Genomic DNA, 22,802 nt, shown 5'->3' on the forward strand with positions numbered 1-22,802 from the left:
GTTACATAGGTATACATTTGCCATGTTGGTTTGCTGCACCCATTAACTCATCATTTACATCGGGTATTTCTCCTAATGCTATCCCTCCCCCAGCCCCCCACCCCACGACAGGCCCCAGTGTGTGATGTTCCCCTCCCTGTGTCCAAGTGTTCTCATTGTTCAATTCCCACCTATGAGTGAGAACATGCGGTGTTCGGTTTTCTGTACTTGTGATAGTTTGCTCAGAATGATGGTTTCCAGCTGCATCCATGTCCCTGCAAAGGACATGAACTCATCCTTTTTTATGGCTGCATAGTATTCCATGGTATATATGTGCCACATTTTCTTAATCCAGTCTATCATTGATGGGCATTTGGGTTGGTTCCAAGTCTTTGCTATTGTGAATAGTGCTGCAATAAACATACTTGTGCATGTGTCTTTATAGTAGCATGATTTATAATCCTTTGGGTATATACCCAGTAATGGGATCGCTGGGTCAAATGGTATTTCTAGTTCTAGATCCTTGAGGAATCACCAACCCTGTCTGCACATCCATCTCCTTCCATGAGGAATCTCATACTTAATTGTATTTATTCATTTCCGCCCTGCTCGGGATCACCATTCTAGCTTTATTTTCCCCAATATTCAAAATATAATCTTTAATGAAAGCAAAATAATATGGAGTCTGTGTATAACCTCTATATTTACACACGTTTAAGGTTTTTTCTTTCATTCAAATTCTTTTCAACTCTGACATTTCTTAACTCAAAAGAGAAGTGCTTTCAAGGTGTTTTCAGACCCAGAAGTACCCAGCCTGTTTCCAGTATCTTACCAATGTTTGGTATCAGCTGTGAGGAAGATGACCCATTTATATAAACTGAGATGAATCATGCTATAATTTCTTGCTTTGTAAGAATTACCATTATGATTTAGAAAAAAAAGTGGTTGTGGACTGCTTATGATAGCTGCATGAGTAGGGCAATAATTTAATTACATGTTATTGCAGTGAGAGTTTATGGAAGAGAAAATATGATTATAGAGTTTAAGAGAAGTATACACTAGAGAATTCTATCTTTGTGTGTAGTAACAAAGATATTACCATATTTTGTTTTGATGAAGATGATAACATTTTGAATTGTGACCCTGACATTACTTAGTGTGAGCTATAAATCTGCTGCTGATCTTAGATAAGTTGCATAAGGAAGAAAAAAAAAAGGTTTTAAAGTAAGAAAAAAAAAAACCCTGCTGCTGAGAATTCTATCAATTTCTAATAAATTTTAGTAATAATTCTATTGTAGGACGTCTCGATGTAAGCCTGAGAGTAACAGAAAAAAGCTTATTTCCAGAATAATAAACTTGGGCTTATGTGTAATTTACTGAAATATATTTTTTCCTGTCAGTTTATAAAGAAGGTTGAGCACCTTTGCTGTTACTCAAGATATTTTGATTCTGATAAGCAGAAATGATGGGAAAATTAAGTCAAATTTAGGGAATTTTTAATTTTAGTTTTCATATCTAGTAACTCATCAAAATTAGAATCAATGCTATAGGTTTTTTTTGTCCAGATAAGCTCTCTCCTAAGTTCTCTGTCTTTAAAATGTCTATCTCCCCAGTAACTGACACTCTTCCAGAAATAAATAATACTCACAGTTCCCCTACCTCATTTTGTGGTGTATGAAAAGTTCATCATTCAGTTGTAATTGCATTTTTTAGTTCTCACTATGGAACATAGTTTCATTTTGAATCATTAACCTCCTTTGGCTTCCTTGCCATCATCCTATTGTGGTTTCCTTTCAGGGGTCCTCCTGGTTCGGCCTCCTGAGTAGCTGGGACTATAGGCCTGCACTGCCATGCCCAGCTCCTCTTTCATTTCTGATACAGATAACTTGTATCTTGTCTCTTTTTTTCCTTGGTTAATTTGGCTAGAGGTTTATCAAATTTACTGATCTTTTCAAATAACCAATGTTTTGTATTGTTGATTTTCTCTATTGTTTTCCTGTTTTCAATTTTATTGATCTTTGCTCTAATTTTTAGTATTTCTTCTGCTTTCTTTCAGATTAAATTGCTCTTCTTTGTCTAATGTCCTAAGATGGGGGCTTAGATTATCAATTCTAGATATTTCTTCTTTACTAATATATTTTATTTGAGACCTTGAAGGAGGTTTTATTATTTATTTATGTATAAAGTTAACTAATGTATTACTTCAACACACTATAAATCTCCTTGTAATTATTGCTTTTACTGCATCTTACAAATTCAATAAGTTGTATTTTAATTTTCCTTCAGTTCAGAATATTTTAAAATTTCTCTTGAGGCTTCTTCTTTGGCCCATGTGTTATTTAGAAGTGTGTTGCTTAATTTTCAAATACATGAGGAATTTTCCAACTATCTTATTGATTTCTAGTTTAATTCTATTGTTGTTTGATAGCATTCATTGCATAATTTTTATTCTTTTAAATTTGTTAAGGTATGCTTTATGTCTCAGGATGTGGTCTAGCTTGATGAATATTCCATGTGAGCTTGAGAAGAATGTGTATTTTGCTGTTGTTGGATGGAGTGTTCTGAAAATGTCAATTAGGTCAAGTTGATTGAGCATGTTGTTCAGTCAACTATATCCTTACTAATTTTTTGCCTGCTTACTCTATCAATTACTGGCAGAGGGATCCCAACTATAGTAGTGAATTTGTCTATTTCTCCTGTGACTTCTATCATTATTTTTTCTTTTTCTTTTTGAGTCAGGGTCTTGCTATGTTGCCCTGGCTGGAGTCCAGTGGTATGATCATAGCTCACTGCAGCCTCAATGAGTTTCATCACTTTTTGCCTCACATGTTCTGATGCCTCCTTCAACCTAGACAATTTTCCTCATTCTGAAGTCTGCTTTGTCTGAAATCATTATAGCTATTCCAGCTATCTTCTGATTTGTGTTAGCATAGTATAGCTTTCTCTAACTCTTTACTTTTAACCTATTTGAATCTTCATACTTAAAGTGAGTTTCAGCCAAGTGTCATGGTGCATACCTGCAGTCCTAGCTACTCAGGAAGCTGAGACAGGAGTATCACTTGAGACTAGGAGTTTGAGGCTATAATGGGACAAAAGACCTTGTCTGCTACCCCTGCCTATAATATAACTCCCATAACACGAGGCTGGGAGAGATGAAAAATACCAGCTACCTGCCCATCTTTGATCATCATAGCCCTAGACTGGTATCAGGGTGGTGTGAAGTAGATGGGATGGTAGGAAGGGGGAGAGGAATCCCATTCTTTTTGGTACAGATACCTGAAGTAGAGCTTCCATCATGTGGAACTGAGGGAGGCCATAATGGAATAGTCTGTGGCTTAAATGTTCCAGCCTCTCACTTTTCTTACTCAAGATTTAGTAAATCCTCTTGAATGTTTCTTCTTTTGCTGTGTGTCCTTAGTACAATTCCAGAGGTAGAAATGATTGGTTTTTATCATTTTCATTAGGTAAATTGTTGTTTTGCTGGCGAGAGGACCTACTGAGCTCCTTAATTCATCATTCTAAAAGTCCTTCCCCAAACACATTTTTAGCAGGTGCAGGGGTCTGGTATGGTGAATTGGTATGTGGAGGAGCAAGGTAGGACAGAGTACAACAATACAAGCTTTCATCATGGTACTCAGAATGACACAAAATGTAAAACTTATGAATTGTTAATTTCTGGAATTTTCCATTTAATATTTTCAGACTGGTTGACATCAAGTAACTGAAACTGCAGAAGCCAAAACCATGCATAAGGAAGGACTACTGTTTTCTCTTATCATATCAATTAGTATTTTAAAATGTTTTAGTGGTTACCCTAGAGTTTCCATTAGAGGTCTTAAAAATGTCACAAAAAATGAGTATTTTGAAAACACTGTGCATTGATTTAAAAATTTTTTTGCATTGAGATAAGCTTGCTAAAACATGTCTAAACAGGATCTAGCTTGAGGCACAAAAATGGATAAAACATCAGTTTGAAAAGAACCCCTATCAAAGCAATACAAATTTGTTACAATTGAAGCAAGAAAAAGCATCACATTTATGCTTAAGCTTGGGTGGGAAAATGGTGAAATCATTGATGCTTTACAAAAAGTTTATGGGGATAATGCCCCAAAGCAATCAACAGTTTACAGATGGATAACTCATTTCAAGAAGGGATGAGACAATGTTGAAGAGAAGCCCATATAGCAGCAGGCCAACCACATCAATTTGCAAGGGAAAAATTCATCTTGTTTGTGGCCTAATTGAAGAGGACTAATGATTAACACTAGCCAATAACATTGGTTCAGTTTACACAATTCTGACTAAGAAGTTAAAAGCTGAACAAACCGTCTACTCAATTGGTGCCAAAACCATTGATCCCAGATGAACTGCAGACCAGAGCAGAGCTTTAGATGGAAATTTTAAACAAGCGCCATCGAAGCCCTGAAGCATTTCTTCAAAGAATCATAACAGAAAATGAAACGTGGTTTACCAGTACAATCTTGAAGACAAAGCAACGGCTATAAAGAGGAGGAAGTGGTTGAAGCAAAGCAAAAGCAGGCCAGTCAAGAGCAAAGATTATGGCAACAGTTTTTTGAGGATGCTCAAGGTATTTTGCTTGTTGATTTTCTGGAAGGCCAAAAAGTAATAATATATGCTTATTATAAGAGAGTTTTGAGAAAGTTAGCCAAAGCTTTAGCAGAAAAATGCCCAGGAAAGCTTCACCAGAGAATTCTCTACCACAACAATGCTCCTTCTTATTCTTCTCATCAAACAAGGGCAATTTTGTGAGTGTTTTGATGGGAAATCATTGGGAAATCATTAGGCATTCAGTTTGCCATCTTAATTCGGTTCTTTCTGACTTCTTTTTGTTTCCTGATCTCAAAAAAATCTTTAAAGGGCACCCATTTTTCTTCATTATTAAATTTTTTACATTATTAAATGTAAAAAATACTGCATTGACTTGGTTAAATTCCCAGAACCCTCAGTTCTTTAGGGATGGACTAAATGGCTGGTACATTTCTTACAAAAGTGTCAAACTTGATGGAGCTTACGTTAAGAAATAAAGTTTTTATTTTTATTTTTATCTATTAATTTCATTTTTCCATGAACTTTGTCTCCTCATGTAATTTAAACTATTCTAAATCTACCTTTAAATAACCCTATACCACTTCACACATAGTACAGATACCTTATTACAGTATTTTTAATTCTTCTATCTCATCCTTTATGACATTGTCAACCTAAAAGGTTATTACAGTATTTTTAATTCTTCTATCTCATCCTTTATGACATTGTTAACCTAAAAGGAAAAAACTGAGGTAAAATTAATGTAAGTAGGGAGTTTATTTGGACCAAACTTTAGGACTGCAACCTGAGAGCATAGATTCAAGTTGCCCTAAATATACGCTCCAATTAATGGTAATTACAATTGGTTTTTAAAGAAAAAGAAGAGGCAATTCCTGAGTTGCTTACCAAGAATTTTGCATTAAAATAATATAAGCGATTGATTGGCTATATATTGTTCTTTTGTATCACAAATTCCAGAAATTTCCAGAAGCTAATGGGAAAAGCAGCTCATCAAGAACAAAATGACTATAAACAATTGCCCTCAGGCATGGGTGGGTGAGGTTAGGTAACTGAAGTCCCATTAGTCTCTCTGGGCCTGATAAAGTTTGCACAACTAGCAAAACTAAGACTGCTCTGAGCTATTTTTCTTTTCTCAACATTACTGTCGTTCTTTTCATTTATCTTATGCTGTAATCACCCAGCACTATTACTACCATCGTTGCTTTAAACAAAGTTATTCTTCAGATCAATTAAGAATAAGAAAAATATCATGACAAACAGAAGCTTAATCCCCAAAAAAGAAAAATATAATTTATTTTACCTTATTTCTTCTCTAATGCTTTTTGTTTCTTTATGTAAATCCAAGTTTCTGACTGATGTAGTTTTACTTTTTAAATAATTTCTTTTACTATTTCTTTTAGAGTATGTCTGCTGGCAATGAATTCCCAGTTTTTGTTTGTCTGAGAAAATATACATATTTTTACTTTTGAACTTTAATTTCTTTTGGATATAGAATTCTACATTTATGAGATTTTTCTTTTAATGATTTAAGTACTTCATTCCATTCTTTTCTTGTTTGCATGATTTCTGATGGGAAGCCTACTGTTATTCTTATCCTGTTACCTCTAAAAGCAACGTGGGTTTTTTCCTCTGACATTTTTCAAGATTTTCTCCTTGTCTTTTATTTTCTGTAGCTTGAGTATAACAAATCTAAATGTAGTTTTTTGGTATTTTTCCTGCTTGGTGTTCTCTGAATTTACCGGACCTGTGGTTTGGTGTCTGTTATTAATTTTGAAAGATTCTCAGCCATTATAAATTCTGAGAGCTACCAGCCTCCCTTTAACAGTTGTCCAACAAGACAGCATCCTTAGGCATGGATGTGAGTCCCTTCAGGCAGACTTGCAAAGTTCTTTCTCTTTATGGTCTGCCTTACCCACTGGGCAGAACTCCTGCACCACTGCACTAAAGCTCTGGGCTTCCTCCCCTCTCTAATTCTAGTGACTACCCACTGCAGGGGAGAGGGAGCAGATCTGGTGTTCTCAGCTTGTTCTTACTAGTGCAGGACCTTCTGCCTACTAGCCAGTCAGGGCTGAGGTAAATTGGAGCCCTAGTGTCTTCAGACTGCCATACCGGGGGTAGGGTTTTTGTCTTTGAGAAGAGGCTGTTTGGGAAGAGAGACCTTGTCTGCTATTCCTGCCTGAAATAGAGCTTCCATAACACAGGGCTTGGTGGGGGTAGGAGAAACACCAGCTACCTGCCCATCATTGGTCACCATAGCCCTAAACTGGGAGCAGGGGAGGTGTGAGGTTGGGGTAGTAGGAAGGGGGAGATGAATCCCATTCTTTTTGGTACAGATACCTGAAGTACAGCTTCCATCATGTGGAGCTGATAGGGTCCATAATGGAGTAGTCTGTGCTTAAATGTCCCAGCCTTTCACTTTTCTTACCCAAGATTTAGTAAATTCTCTTGAATGAATGTTTTTTCTTTTGCTGTATGTCCTTAGTACAGATCCAGAGATGGGAATGATTTTTTTTTTATCACTTTCATTAGGTAAATTGTTGTTTTGCTGGGGAGAGGTCCTACTGAGCTCCTTAATTCAACATTCCAAAAGTCCTTCCCCAAACGTTTTTAACAGGTGCAGGAGTTTGGTATGGTGAATCGAAAGGTGGAGGAAACACAGTAAATAATTAGTCCTCACCATCTGCCAGGAGCCAGAGAAAAATGCTTTCCCATTTCTTCCCCAGATGGATGGTCTGGAGACACATTTCTTATAGTGTGCAGTCAAGGAACCAGTCATACATAGAGGCAGCCAACTTCTGCAAGTGCTCCACTTCTTTCCTTGCTTTTCTTCTCCTTTACTTCCTGGTCAAGCACTTGCTCTTAAGCCTATGCCTTAGGTTCTGCTTTCTGGCGAACTCAGAATAAACCATATGCCATGCCTTTAATTATACTCCTTGCTTTATAAATAACTTATAATTTTGAGTATCATATTGGATTATAAGTAGTGAAAACAAGCATGAAATTTATTATTGGGTTTATAGCTTACTGTGAAAATGAAAAATATTATATTAGATTTTAATATTCATTGTCTTACTGTTAGTACTCTTTCTTATGGTTTATTTTTCAGTGATATTATTCATCAGAATGCATATTAGCACTTTCATTTGAATTGAAAGTTAACATTAAGCTTTTCTTTTTAATGGAAAGTAAATCTGTTTTGGCTGACTGATATAACAACAAAGCCTGACTTTGCTAATTAGTTTTAATGTAGACATTTTCCATAAATAAGCTTATTCTGCAGCTCTACAGTTTGTCAAAAACATATTTAAAACTTTTTTTGTGGGGGTTGGAGACAGGGTCTCATTAATTAATGTCACCCAGACTGGAGCGCAGTCTGCTGCAACCTGTGTCTCCTGGGCTCAAGCAATCCTCCTACCTTAGTCTCCCAAGTAGCTGGGACTACAGGTGCATAGCCACCATGCCTGGATAATATTTTGTAGTTTTTTGTAGAGATGGGGTTTCACCATGTTGACCAGGCTAACATTTTAATCAAACATATAATATGAAAAAAAAATGCTGAAATTAGCAATACAGTTGTTTCTTGAACAACACAGGTTTGTGGGAGCTTTTTGTTTGGGGTTTTTTTTGTGCTATTAATTTTATTTATTTCTGCAATCATTATACCCAGTCAACAATGCCAAGCAATTGCATTTTTTTTAAAACCTCAAAACAATTTCAACCTTCTTGTCTTTCTCATCAGTCTCAATATGCTTCCTATGTTGATACGTATGCAAGGGGTGCGCATTTCTTTTTAAACAAAATTCCAATGAGTCCAGCAAATAACTACATTACTATTTTAAAAATACATTGGTTGCGACAGCGCGGTGGTCCACGCCTGTAATCCCAGCACTTTGGGAGGCTGAGGCGGGCGGATCACGAGGTCAGGAGATAGAGACCATCCTGGCTAACACGGTGAAATCCTGTCTGTACTAAAAATACAAAAAAAAAAAAAAAAAAAAAAAAAAAATTAGCCGGGCGTGGCGCCGGGTGCCTGTAGTCCCAGCTACTTGGGAGGCTGAGGCAGGAGAATGGCGTGAACCCGAGGCGGAGCTTGCAGTGAGCCGAGATCGCGCCACTGCACTCCAGCCTGGGCAACAGAGGGAGAAAGTAATAATATAATGATGATGAGTTGCTGGTTTATGAAATGTTTACTTTCTCAGAAATATGGACCACTCACCTTTACTTCCCCCCACAATTTAACTAGTTCCTAAAGACTGCTTATTATGAAATTTGATATGAAATAAGCTGATAACTTTTAATCCAGTTTTTCAAGTTTAGAAAATCTAGTATAAAGAAGACCTGGTAGCCTGAATGACACAAGTTTGAATGGTGTGGATTCACTTATGTGAGATTTTTCTTCTGCCTCTTCCATCCCCTTGTCTTCAAGTTGAGTAGGCTGAGGAGGAGGAGGAAGAAGAGCAAGACAAACCCCTCTTCTTCCTCCCCTTCCTCAGCCTACTCAACTTGAAGACAATGAAGATAAAGACCTTTATAATGATCTACTTCCACTTAATGAATAGCAAATATATTTTTTCTCCCTCATGATTTTCTTAAAAACATTTTCTTTCCCCTAGCTTACTTTATTGTAAGAATATAGTATATAATGCATATAACGTAAAAATATATGTTAATGGACGTTTATGTTATCAGTAAGGCTTCTAGTCAACAGGCTATTAGTAGGTAAGTTTTGGGGGAGTCAAAAGTTATACATGGATTTTCGACTGTATGCAGTCGGCACCCCTAACCCCTGTGTTGTTCAAGGGCCAGCTGTATTTCAAATTTCCCAACTCTTTTTAAGTACAACAGGTTAAACAAGGTACTTCTAAGTGAAAAGAATAATAAACATAATTACTAGGCTGGCGCAGTGGCTCATACCTGCAATCCCAGCACTTTAGGAGGCTGAGGTGGGCAATTGCTTGATTTTAGGAGTTTGAGACCAGCCTGGGCAACATAGCAAAACCCTGTTCTCTACAAAAAATACAAAAAGTGACTGGGCATGGTCGCATGCACCTGTAGGTAGTCCCAGCTACTGGGGAAGCTGAGGCAGGAGAATCATCTGAGCTTGGGGGTTTGAGGCTGCAGTGAACCGTGATCATGCCACTGCACTCCAGTCTGGGTGACAGAGTGAGACCCTGTCTCAAAAAAACAAAAGACAAACAACAACAAAAATACCCCACAAACAAACAAACAAAATCCCCAAAAATCAAAAGCATAATTATTATCATTTGTGAAGTTTTGGTAAATTCATTTTGAATTAAATGAGTAATAACTAGGCAATAATCATTTGCAACCAAAAGTTCTGATTGATTTCTTTTTTTCTTTTTCTTTTTCTTTTCTTTTTTATTTCTTTTTTTTTCTTTTTTTTTCTTTTTTTTTTTTTTGAGACAGTCTCACTTTGTTGCCCAGGCTGGAATGCAGTGGCACAATCTTGGCTCACTTCAGCCTCTGCCTCCTGGGTTCAAGCGATTGTCCTGCCTCAGCCTCCTGAGTAGCTGGGATTACAGGCATGCACCACCAAACCTAACTTTTGTTTTGTTGTTGTTGTAGTTGTTTGTTTGTTTGTTTGTTTGTTTTAGTATAGACAGGGTTTGACCATGTTGGCCAGGCTGGTCTTGAACTCCTGACATCAAGCGATCCATGCACCTCGGCTTCCCAAAGTGCTGGGATTACAGGCATGAGCCACCGCGCCTGACCTGGTTATGATTGGTTTCTAATTCTTAGTGTTACAAGCGCCTAATCAAAAAAATTTTGATAATGAGAAATAATATGATTTTGGGTATGTAACGCTGGAAGAGCTTAGATAATTAAGTAATATAATATTAGGTCCTATGCCAGACCTTGAATCAGAATCTGTATTTTAAAAGGAACTCTCAGTGATTTATGTGCACATGAAAGTGAGGAGCACTGATGTACAAATGAATAATTTAGACAATGCAGTGACAGTCAAGGTGTTTATTTTTGCTTAGAAAAAGTCGCCATTTGCTAGATTTCAGGCTTAAAATTAAAAAGTAATATCTAGCTAGTACAAAGCCTCAAAAACACCCAAGTTCTTGGCCTACCTTCTCTTCAACCTTATCCACCTGTCCCAATTTCTCTGTGCCCTGGCCAAATAGACTGTCAATTCCTTGTGCATGACAAGTTTTGTTTCCTCAGGGCTTCTACATGTGCTGTTCCTGGAATGCTACTCCTCTCCCTCTTCACACAACCAAATCATCCTAATATTTCTCTCTCTTTTTAAAAAAGATGTATTTCAGCTTTTATTTTAGGTTTAGGGGTACATATGCAGGTTTTTTACATGAGTATATTGCGTGATGCTGAGGTTTGGGGTATGAATGATCCTGTCACCCAGGTTGTAAGCATAATACCTAATAGGTAGTTTTTCAGCCCTTGCCCCTCATCTTCTCTTTCCCTTTCCACCCTCTAGTAATGCCCAGTGTCCATTGTAACCATCTTCATGTCCATTGGTACTCAATGTTTAGCTCCCACTTATAAGTGAGAACATACAGTATTTAGTTTTCTGTTGCTGTATTAATTTGCTTAGGATAATGGCCTCCAGCTGCATCCATGTTGCTGTAAAGGATAAGATTTCATTCTTTATTGTGGCTGCATAGTATTCCATGGTGTATGTGTACCACATTTTCTTTATCGAATCCACCATTGAAGAGCACCTGGGTAGATTCCATGTCATTGCTATTGTGAATAGTGCTGTGCTGAATATATGTGTGCATATCTTCTTGGTGGAATGATTTATTTTCCTTCGGGTATATATCCAGGAATGAGATTGCTGGGCAAATGGTAACTCTGTTTTAAATTCTTAGAGAAATCTCCAACTGCTTTCCATAGTGGATGAACTAATTTACATTCCCACCAACAGTGTGTTAGGGTCTCCTTTTCTCCACATCCTTGCCAGTATTCATTACTGCCTGGATTTTGAATAAAAGCCATTTTAACTGGGGTGACAGGATATCTCACTATAGTTTTGATTCACATTTCTTTGATGGTCAATGATGTTGAGCACCTTTTCATATACCTGTTTGCCATTTGATATGGTTTGGCTGTGTCACAACCCAAATTTCATCTTCAATTTTAACTCCCAAAATTCCCACAGCTGTGGGAGGAACCTGGTGAGTAGTGATTGAATTATGGGAGCAGGTCTTTCCTGCACGGTTCTTGTGACAGTGAGTGAGTCTCACAAGATCTGATGGTTTTAAAAATGGAAGTCTCCCTGCACAGCTCTCTTTTGCCTGCTGACATTCATGTAAGACGTGACTTGCTCCTCCTTGTCTTCTGCTATGACTGTTAGGCCTTCTCAGCCATGTGGAACTGTAAGTTCATTAAATCCTTTTTTCTGTATAAATTACCCAGTCTTAGGTATGTCTTTATCAGCAGCGTGAAAATGAACTAATACACCATTTGTATGTCTTCTTTTGAGAAATGTCTATTCAGATCTTTTGCCCAATTTTTAATTGGATTATTAGATTTTTTTCCTTAGAGTTGTTTGAGCTCCTTATATATTCTGGTTATTAATCCCTTGTCAGATGGGTAGTTTGCAAATATTTTCTCCCATTCTGTGGGTTGTTGTTTCACTTTGTTGATAGTTTCCTTTGCTGTGCAGGAGTTTTTTTTAACTTGATGTGGTTCCATTTGTCCATTTTTGCTTTGGTTGCCTAGGCTTGTGGGGTATTAGTCAAGAAATCTTTGCCCAGACCAGTGTCCTGTAGAGTTTCCCCAAACTTTTACTAGTTTCGTAGTTTAAGGTCTTAGATTTAAGTCTTTAATCCATTTTGACTTGATTGTATATGGTGAGAGATAAGGGTCTAGTTTCATTCTTCTATATATGAATATGAATATTTCCCAGCACCATTTATTGAAGAGACTGTCCTTTCCCCAGTGTATATTCTTGGCAACTTTTTTAAAAATGACTTCACTGTAGATTTATGGATTTGTTTCTAGGTTCTCAGTTATGTTCCATTGGTCTATGTGTCTGTTTTTATGCCAGTACTATGCTGTTTTGTTTACTACAGCTCTGTAGTATGCTTAAAATCAGGTAGTGTGATTCTATCAGTTTTGCTTTTTTTTTTTTTTTCCTCAGAATGGTTTGGCTATTCTGGGTCTTTTCTGTTTCCATATAAATTTTAGGATTTTTTTTATTTCTGTGAAGACTGTCATGGATATTATGATAGGGATTGCATTGAATCTGTAGATTTCATTGGGCAGTACAGATGTTTTAACCATATTGATTCTTCTTATCCATGAACATGGAGTATCTTTTCATTTTTAAATGTCTTCAATTACATGCAACAATGTTTTATAGTTTTCACTGTAAAGACCCTTCACTTCTTTGATTAAAGTTTATTCCTAGGTATCTTATTTTAATTGTAGCTATTGTAAACGGGACTATTTTCTTGATTTCTTTTTTCAGATTGTTCACTTTTGGCATTTAGAAATGCTACTGATTTTTGTATGTTAATTTTGTATCCTGTGTCTTTACAGAATTTATGAGTTCTAAAAGTTGTTTTTGTGGAGTCTTTAGTTTTTTCCAAATAAAATATTATATCACTTGCAAACAAGGATAATTTTACTTCTTCCTTTCCAACTTGGATGTACTTTATTTCTTTCTGTTGTCTGACTGCTCTAGTTAGAACATCTAGTAATATATGTTGTATAACAGTGGTGTAAGTGGGCATCCTTGTCTTGTTCCAGATCTTAGATGAAAGGCTTTCAGTTTTTCACCATTCAGTATAATACTAGCTGTGGGTTTGTTGTATATAGCTTTTATTATGTTGAGGTATGTTCCTTCTATACCCAGTTTTTGAGGGTTTTTATCATGAAGGGACATTGAACTTTATCAAATGCATTTTTAGCATGACTTGAAATGATCATATGGTTTTTGTCTTTCACTGTGTTGGTACGATGTATCACATTGATTAGTTTGTGTATGTTGCAACATCCTTGCATCCATGGGATAAAAGCCACATGGTCAGTGTGTTGCTAAATTTGATCTGTTAGCATTTTTTTGAGGATCTTCGTATCAATATTCGTCAGGGCTATGGGCCTTTAGTTTTCTTTATTTGACGTGTCTTTGGTTTTGTTATCGTGGTAATAGTGGCCCAGCAGAATGAGTTTGGAAGTATTTTCTCCTCCTCCATTTTTCAGAATAGTTTGAGTAGGATTGGTATTAGTTTTTTTTTTTTTGAGATGGAGTCTTGCTCTGTCCCCCAGGCTGGAGTGCAGTGTTGCGATCTTGGCTCACTGCAGCCTCTGCCTCCCGGGTTCAAGCAATTCTCTGCCTCAGCCTCCTGAGTAGTTGGGATTACAGGCACCCACCACCAGGCCCTGCTAATTTATTTTGTATTTTTAGTAAAGACAGGTTTTTACCATCTTGGCCAGGCTGGTCTTGAATTCCTGACCTCGTGATTCACCTGCCTTGGCCTCCCAAGGTTTGGGGATTACAGGTGTGAGCCACCGCATCCGGCTGGTATTAGTTCTTTTTCAAATGTTTGGTAAAACTCAGTAGGGAAGCCATTGTCTCCTGGGCCTTTCTTTACTGGGAGATTTTTTATTATGGTTTATATCTCATTACTTGTTATTGATCTGTTCAGATTTTGGATTTTGTCATGGTCCAATTTTGGCAGGTTATATGTTTCTAGGAATTTATCCATTTCTCCTAGGTTTTCCAATTTACTGGCATGTAGTTGTTCATAGTAGTGTCTAATGATCATTTAAATTTCTGTGGTATCAGTTGTAATATCTCCTTTTTCATCTCTAATTTTATTTATTTAAATTTTAGCTCTTTTTTTCTTAGTCTGGCTAAAAGTTTGTGAATTTTGTTTATCTTTTTAAAAAACCAACTTTTAATTTCACTGATTTTTAAGTTTTTTATATATTTTTTATTTTTGAGACAGTGTCTCGCTCTGTTGCCCAGGCTGGAGTGCAGTGGTGGGATCTCGGCTCACTGCAACTTCCGTCTCCTGGGATCAAGCAATTCTCTGCCTCAGCCTCCCGAGTAGCTGAGATTACAGGTGCCCACCACCATGCCCGGCTAATTTTTTTTTTGTATTTTTAGTAGAGATAGGGTTTCACCATCTTGGCCAGGCTGGTCTTGAAACTTGTGATCCACCCGCTTTGGCCTCCCAAAATGCTGGGATTACAGGCGTGAGCCACTGCACCCGGCCTTCACTGATCTTTTTATTTTTTCTCATTTCAATTTTATTTATTTCTGCTTGGATCTTTGTAATTTCTTTCCTTCTACTAATTTTGGGTTTAGTTTTGTCGTTTGTCTAGTTCTTTAAGATGCACTCTCAGGTTGTTTATTTCAAGTTTTTCTACTTTTTTATGTAGGCATTTATTACTATAAACTTTCCTCTTAGTATTGCTTTCTTCGTATCCCATAGGTTGTGTTATGTTGTGTTTTCTCTTTCATTTGTTTCAAAACGTTTTGAATTTCATTCTTTATTTCTTCATTGACCCACTGGTCATTCAGGAGCATAGTGCTTAATTCCTATGTTTTTGTATAGTTGCCAATGTTTCTATTGTTATTGACTTCTAATTTTATTCCATTGTGGTCAAAGAAGATACTTGATATGATCTCAATTTTTAAAATGTTTTAAGACTTGTTTAGTGGCCTAACATATGAGCTATCCTTAAGAAGGATCTATGTGCTGAGAAGAATATGTATTCTGCAGCCATCGGCTGAAATGTTCTATAAATATCTGTTAGATTCATTTAGTCAATAGTGCACATTATGTCTGATGTTTCTTTGTTGATTTTCTGTCTGGAAGACCTGTCCAGTGCTGAAAGTGGGCTGTTGAAGTCTCCAACTATTATTGCATTGGGGTCTATCTTTCTCTTAAGCTTTAAAAATATTTGCTTTATAAAATATCTAGCTGCTCCAGTGTTGGGTGCATATGTATTTACAGTTGTTATGTTCTCTTGCTGACTTGACTCCTTTATCATTTATAATGACCTTGTCTCTGTCATGAAATCTATTTTGTGTGACATAAGTATAGCTCATTTCAGTTGGTTTTTTGGTTTCCATTTGCATGAAATATCTCTTTCCATCCCTTTATTTTCAGTCTATGTGTGCCTTTATAAATGAAGTGTGTTTCTTGCAGGAAATAGATCATTGGATGTTGTTTTCTAAAAATCCATCCAGCCACCCTATGTATTTTGGTTTGAGAGTTTAGTTCATTTACATTCAGTATTATTATTGATAAGTCAGGACTCACTCCTGCCATTTTAAACAATTGGTTTCCTGGTTGTTTTGTGGTCTTCTGTTCCTTACTGTCTTATTTTTTGTGAAGGTGATTTTTTCTTGCTGTATGTTTTAATTTCTTCCTTTTTATTTTTTACATATCTGTTGTAGGTTTTTTGATTTGAGGTTACCATGAGGCTTGAAAATTACATCTTATAACCCATTATTTGAAATTGATGGCAACTTAGCCCAGATTGCAAAAACAAACTAACGAAGCAAAGAAAAAACGAATACTAATTCTACAACTTTAGTTCATCCCTCCTGCTTTTTAACTTTTTATTGTTACTATTTATATCTCTTTATACTATCTATGTCTCGAAAAGTGTTTGCTGTTACTATTTTTACTAAGTTCTTTTAGTCTTTCTTTTAGTATACAAGTAGTTTACACACCACTATTACAGTGTAATAATATGTTTATCTGTGTACTTACTATCACCAGTGAGTTTTGTACCTTAAGATGATTTCTTATTGCTTGTTAATGTCCTTTTCTTTCAGACTGAAGAACTCTGTTTAGCATTTCTTGTAGGACAGGTCTGGTGTTCATTAATTCCCTCAGCTTTCACTTATCTGCGAAAGTCTTTATTTCTCCTTCATGTTTGAAAGATATTTTGCTGGACACACTATTCCAGGATAAAAGTTTTTTTTTTCCTTTATTACTTTAAATACATCATGCCACTCTCTCCTGGGCTGTATGGTTTCCACTGAGATGTCTGCTGCTAGACGTATTGGAGCTTCTTCTATGTAATTGTTTCCTTTTCTCCTGCTGTTTTTAGGGTTCTTTCGTTATCCTTGACCTTTAGAAATTTGATTATTAAATGCCTTGAAATAGTCTTATTTGGTTTAAGTCTGCTTAGTGTTTTATAACCTTCTTTAATTTGAATATTGATATCTCTCTCTAGGTTTGTAAAGTTTTCTGTTATTATGCCTTTGAATAAACTTTCTACCTCCTCCTTGAGGCCAATAACTCTTGGATTTGCCCTTTTGAGGCAATTTTCTAATATCTTAAATTCATGCTTTATTCTTTTTTTATTCTTTTTTTGTCTTCTCTGACTTTGTATTTTCAAATAGCCTGTTTCATGCCCACTAATTCTTTCTTCTGCTTAATTTTGCTATTAAGAGATGCTGATGCATTCTTCACTATGTCAGTTGAATTTTTCAGCTCCAGAATTTCTGCTTGATTCTTTTTAATTATTTCAGTGTTTTTGCTAAATTTATCTGATAGGAGTCTGAATTCCTTCTCTGTGTTATCTTGAATTTCTTTGAGTTTCCTCAAAATAGCTATTTTGAATTCTCTGTCTGAAAGGTCACATATCTCTTTTTCTCCTGGATTGGTGCCTTAGTTTGCTTGGTGAAGTCATGTTTTCCTGGATGGTCTTGACGCTTGTGGATGTTAGTTGGTGTCTGGGCATTGAAGACTTAGGCATTTATTGTAGTTTTTGCAGTCTGGGCTTGTTTGTTCACATCCTTCTTGAGAAAGCATTCCAGGTATTTGAAAGGACTTGGGTGTTGTGATCTAAGTTTTTGGTCACTACAGCTATATCTGTATTAGGGGCCACACCAAGCCCATTAATGCTATGACTCTTGCAGACTCACAGAGGTACCACCTTAGATAAGATCTGGGAAAATTCTCTGGATTACTAGACAGAGACTCTTGTTCTCCTCTGTCACTTCCCCTACTAACTCCCCAAAATGGAGTCTCTGTGTGTGTGTTGAGATACTTGGGATTAGGAGAGAGGTGATACAGGTACTCCTGTGACCACCATACTGGAACAGTGCAGGGTCAGACCTGAAGCCAGCATAGCACTGGGTGTTACCAAGGCCAACGGCAACCACTGCCTGGCTACTGCCAATGTTCACTCAAGGTTCAAAAGCTCTTCAGTCAGCAGTTAGCCAATGTAGCCATGCTTGTGTTCTTCCCTTCAGGGCAGCAAGCTCCCCTCTGGCTCAGGGAAAGTTCAGAAATGTCATCTTGAGCCAGGCTCTAGAGTCAGGAACCTTAGGAAGCTACTTGGTGCTCTATTCTACTGCAGTTGAGCTGGCACCCAAGACACAAGACAAAGCCCTTCCCACTTTTTTCTCCCTTTCCTCATCCGGAAGAAGACTCTTCTCATGGCTACCACCATCCCAGGCCCACGACGAGTACTACCTGGCTACCTTCGATATTGACTTAAGACCCAAGAGCTCTTCAGTCAGCTTATGGTGAATGCTGCCATGGGTCTCTCCCTTCAGGGCAGCAGGCTCCCCTCCGGCCCAGGGCAGGTCCAGAAATGCTGTTCAGGAGCCAAAGCCTGGAATTGGGGACCACAGGAGCCTGCTTGGTGCTCTACCCCACTGTGGCCAACCTGGTACCTGAACTACAGAACGAAGTCTCCCTTATTCTTCCCCCTTCTTTTCTCAAGGAGGTGTCTCTCCCTATGTCCACCACAGCTGGGAATGTACTGGTTCACACTAAAGCCAGCATGTCTCTGAGTCTCACTCAGTGAGTACTACCTTATTATTATTGATGTTTATTCAAGACCCAAGAACTCTTTGGTTAGCAGGTGATGAATCCTGCCAGGACTGGGTCCTTCCTTCAAGACAGCAGGTTTCCTTCTGGCTCAGGGTGTATTTATTATGCCCCCCTGGGAGCTAGGGCCTAAAATGGGGACTTCAAGACAGCCTGTGCCATATTCTACTGTGGCTGAACTGGTATCCAAGTTGCAAGACAAAGTCCTCTTTACTTTCTCCTGTCCTCTCCTCAAGTGGAAGGGAAGAATCTCTCCCGAAGCTGCAAGCTGCACTGCCTGGGACTGGGGAAGGTTGACACAAACACCCCCTTGGCCTCCCCAGCTGTTGTCTCAGTAGGATGCATGCACCCCAAGTCCACTGGCTCTGAGTGTAGCACAGAACCAGGACTTGCCCAGGAATTGTAGTCCCTGTGGCCTAGACTGCCTATTAAGTTTATTTAGGACTCCAGAGCGCTTTAGCCCATGGTGGAGAGGCTTGCTGGAACTCAGGTTCTGGCCGCTGGGATGGACAATTCAACTCTTGCTAGGGCTGGTCTAAATGCTCAGGTGGACATCAGCTGATTTCTGCCCTGTGTTGCTTTCCACTGTGACAGGGCATCACTGAATTCCAAAGTGAAGTCCCACAATCACTGCACTCTCCTTCCCCAAGTATACAGATTCTTTTTGCAGAAGATGTGGGAGGGGTGGTTTCATCGATTCAAGACTGTCTTTTCTACCGACTTCAGTGCTCTTTCCTTGATATGATGTTAAAATCAAATACTGTGATCACTCACCTGATTTTTGGTTTTTATGAAGGTGCTTTCTTGTGTGGACAGTTCTGGTGTTCCTGAGTGGGGAATGATCACTGGAGGATTTTATTCGGCCTTCTTACTGCACTCCTCTTCCAGTCAACGTATACTAACAATAGCAGTTGTTATAATGATTATTTCAATCAGCAAATATGAATATGCAGTGTTAGTCAAAAATGTAATGTCCTTTAAATATAACAGATGTTTAATTATTGCATCATACTTTAAGTTGAGAAGTATAGGCAGTAACTGCGAGCACTAGATGATGGTAACGTTACTTTTAAAGTATGGTTCATTTAATGGAAATTCAAATAAAGTATGTGGTAGTTCACATTCAAATGCAAGGTGTGACATTTATTGGTTTTTAAACATTCTTTAACATGTTTATTTTAATATAATGTTGTATTATCTGAAGCTAATTGTTTCTTCCTTCCTTTATTTAATAACCATTTATTGAATGTTTACCTTATACAGGACTCACTGCTAGGCCTAAATACAAAGATCTGTAAGACATAATTCCTTCCTCAGAGAATTTACAGTCTAGTATGGAAACAATAGGTATTTCAAAACAGAAAAATTGGAAACCATCATGATACACACTTTATTGATAACATAATTGTAGTGCATAGTTGGTACTAGCTGTGATTCTGGAGGTAGAGAACATGACTAAGGCCTACAGTGGGCAACCTTATCTCAGTTCTCACACCACTGCAATTGGATTGAGAATAAGCATGGAACCCAAAAGCAGTCAATGAATCAGAAGTCAGTGTGACAAGATTCTTGATCTTTCTTGCTGGATCAAAAAAGGAAGAGTGTAAGACTAGAGTTCTGCCAGCATCTTGCTGCCATTGAAGTATGAGATTGAAGCCAGCATAGCAACTGGTTTTGCTGAGAGTCCTCTTACAAGAGATTAGGACACATAGTGAGATAGGAGGGATGTGACTGCACAGAGAAAGGACTATGTGAAGACACAGGAAGAAGATGGATATCTGCAAACCAAGGAGAGAGGCCTCAGGAGAAACTGAACCTCCTGACACCTTGCTCTTGGACTTTCAGCTCCCAGAACTATGAGAAAACAAATTTCCGTTGTTTAAGCCATCTGATCTGTGGTGTTTTGTTACGACAGCCCTAGTAAACTAAAACAAGTGTCAATTCATATTAGGTGTAGACAGAGAAAGTATAAATTGAAGGGAGAGCTAAAGAAAAAGATAGTTAATGTCATCAAACTATGTTATTTTACTTTAGAATCAGTAATACATGCATACATTACAAAATGTCATATATGTTTAATAAATGGTTAGTTTTTATTTACTGCATGTTCGAAACACATTTTATTTTACTCTAGTATAGAACATTTTCATGGTGAAAATATCAATGTAAATAGAAAGCAGCTAAATCTTGGCTAACTTGGTGGCTACCTTTGTATTTTGAAAGCAATCTATTTTATCTCTAAATAATCCTTTTATTGTGTCTGAAATTATACAGTTAGAAATTTATTACATTCGATCTCTTTAAACTTGAAGATTTTTGTCTTCATTGATTTATTTTTAGGGCTTTATATAAAAGTGAAATTTAGGCTGGGCGTGGTGACTCATGCCTGTAATCCCAGCACTTTGGGAGGCCAAGGCAGGCGGATCACTTGAGGTCAGGAGTTCGAGACCAGCCTGGCCAACATGGTGAAACCCTGTCTCTAGTAAAAATACAAAAAAAAAAAAAATAGTCGGTTGTGGTGGCAGGCACCTGTAATCCCAGCTACTCGAGAGGCTGAGGCAGGAGAATCACTTGAACCCGGGAGGCAGAGTTTGCAGTGAGCTGAGATCGCGCCATTGCGCTCCAGCCTGGGGGACAAGAGCGAGACTTTGTCTCAAAAAAAAAAAAAAGTGAAATTTATAGGGGCAGGAAGAGGTATGGAGGATAACTTCAGGGAGGCCACGAAAGCCTTATTTAATCTGACTCAGAAGCTGACCTTTGTATGTAAACCTCTGAATGGAAAATAAGAGGACCAAGGGGGAAAAGAGAGAGCTCAAATAGATAAACTTCACCTTTTCACCGTGAGCCCACCTTAAAAACATAGTGTTCTACAGGGAAAGGATTCCCTATTCAATAAATGGTGCTGGGAGAACTGGCTAGCTATATGCAGAAGATTTAAGCTGGTCCCTTTCCTTACACCATACACAAAAATTAACTCAAGATGGATTAAAGACTTAAATGTAAAACCTAAAACTATAAAAATCCTGGAAGAAAACCAAAGCAATACCATTCAGGAAACAGGTACGGGCAAAGATTTCATGACGAAGATGCCAAAAGCAATCGCAACGAAAGCAAAAGTTGACAATTGGGAGCTAATTAAACTAAAGAGCTTGTGCAGAGCAAATGAGACTATCAACAGAGTAAATAGACAACTTATAGAATGGGAGAAAATTTTTGTAAAGTACGCATGTGACAAAGGTCTAATATCCAGCATTTATAAAGAACTTAAACTTACAAGAAAAAAACAAACAACTCCATTAGAAATTGGGCAAAGGACATGAACAGACCCTTCTCAAAAGAAGAAATACATGCGGCCAACAATGATATGAGAAAACTCAACATCATTGATCACTGGAGAAATGCAAAACAAAACCACAAATGCAAATCAAAATCACATCACTCAAAATGGCTATTACTAAAATGTCAAAAAAAAAAAAAAAACAGGTGCTGGTGAGGTTGCAGAGAAAAAGGAACATGTATACACTGTTGGTAGGAGTGTAAATTAGTCCAACTATCGTGGAAGACAGTGTGGCAATTCCTCAAAGACCTAGAGACAGAAAAGCCATTTGACCCAGCAATCCCATTACTGGGTATATACCCAAAGGAATATAAATCATTCTATTATAAAGACACATGCATACGTATCTTCATTTACAGCATTATTCACAATAGCAAAGACATGGAATCTACCTAAACGCCCATTAATGATAGACTGGATAAAGCAAATGTGGTACATATATACCATGTAATACTATACAGCCATAAAAAGAATGAGATCATGTCCTTTGTAGGGACATGGATAGAGCTGGAGGGCGTTATCCTTAGCAAACTAACGCAGGAACAGAAAACCAAACACCACATGTTCTCACTTATAAGTGGGAACTAAATGAAGAGAACTCATGGACAAACAGAAGGGAAAAACACACACTGGTGGCTATGGGAGGGTGAAGGTGGATGAGGGAGAGGATCAAGAAAACTAACTGAGTACTAGGCTTAATACCTGGGTGATGAAATGTTCTGTACAACAAACCCCCATGACACCACAAGTTTACCTATGTGACAAACCTGCACATGCACCCTTGAACTTAAAATAGAAGTTTAAAAAACAATGCTTTTTAGTGGCCAAAATTTCCTGTGTTGTTTTCCTTTTTAAAAAATCACTAGACCACACAAACAAACCTGTACACTATTGTTTATAGTAGCTTTATTTGTAATAGCCTCAAACTGAAAACAACAAAATGTTCCTCAATGGGTGAATGATTAGACTGTGGAACATCCATATATTGGAATACTGCTCAGCAATCAAAAGATCACACTATTGATATAGATGACAATTTGGATACAGTTCAAGTGAATTATGTAGAGTGAAAAAAGCCTGTTCCTAAAGGTTACACACTGTACACTTTCATTTATATA

The sequence above is a fragment of the Homo sapiens genome, chromosome 4 (genome assembly GCF_000001405.40).
Source record: "Homo sapiens chromosome 4, GRCh38.p14 Primary Assembly".
NCBI classification, from domain to species: domain Eukaryota; kingdom Metazoa; phylum Chordata; class Mammalia; order Primates; family Hominidae; genus Homo; species Homo sapiens.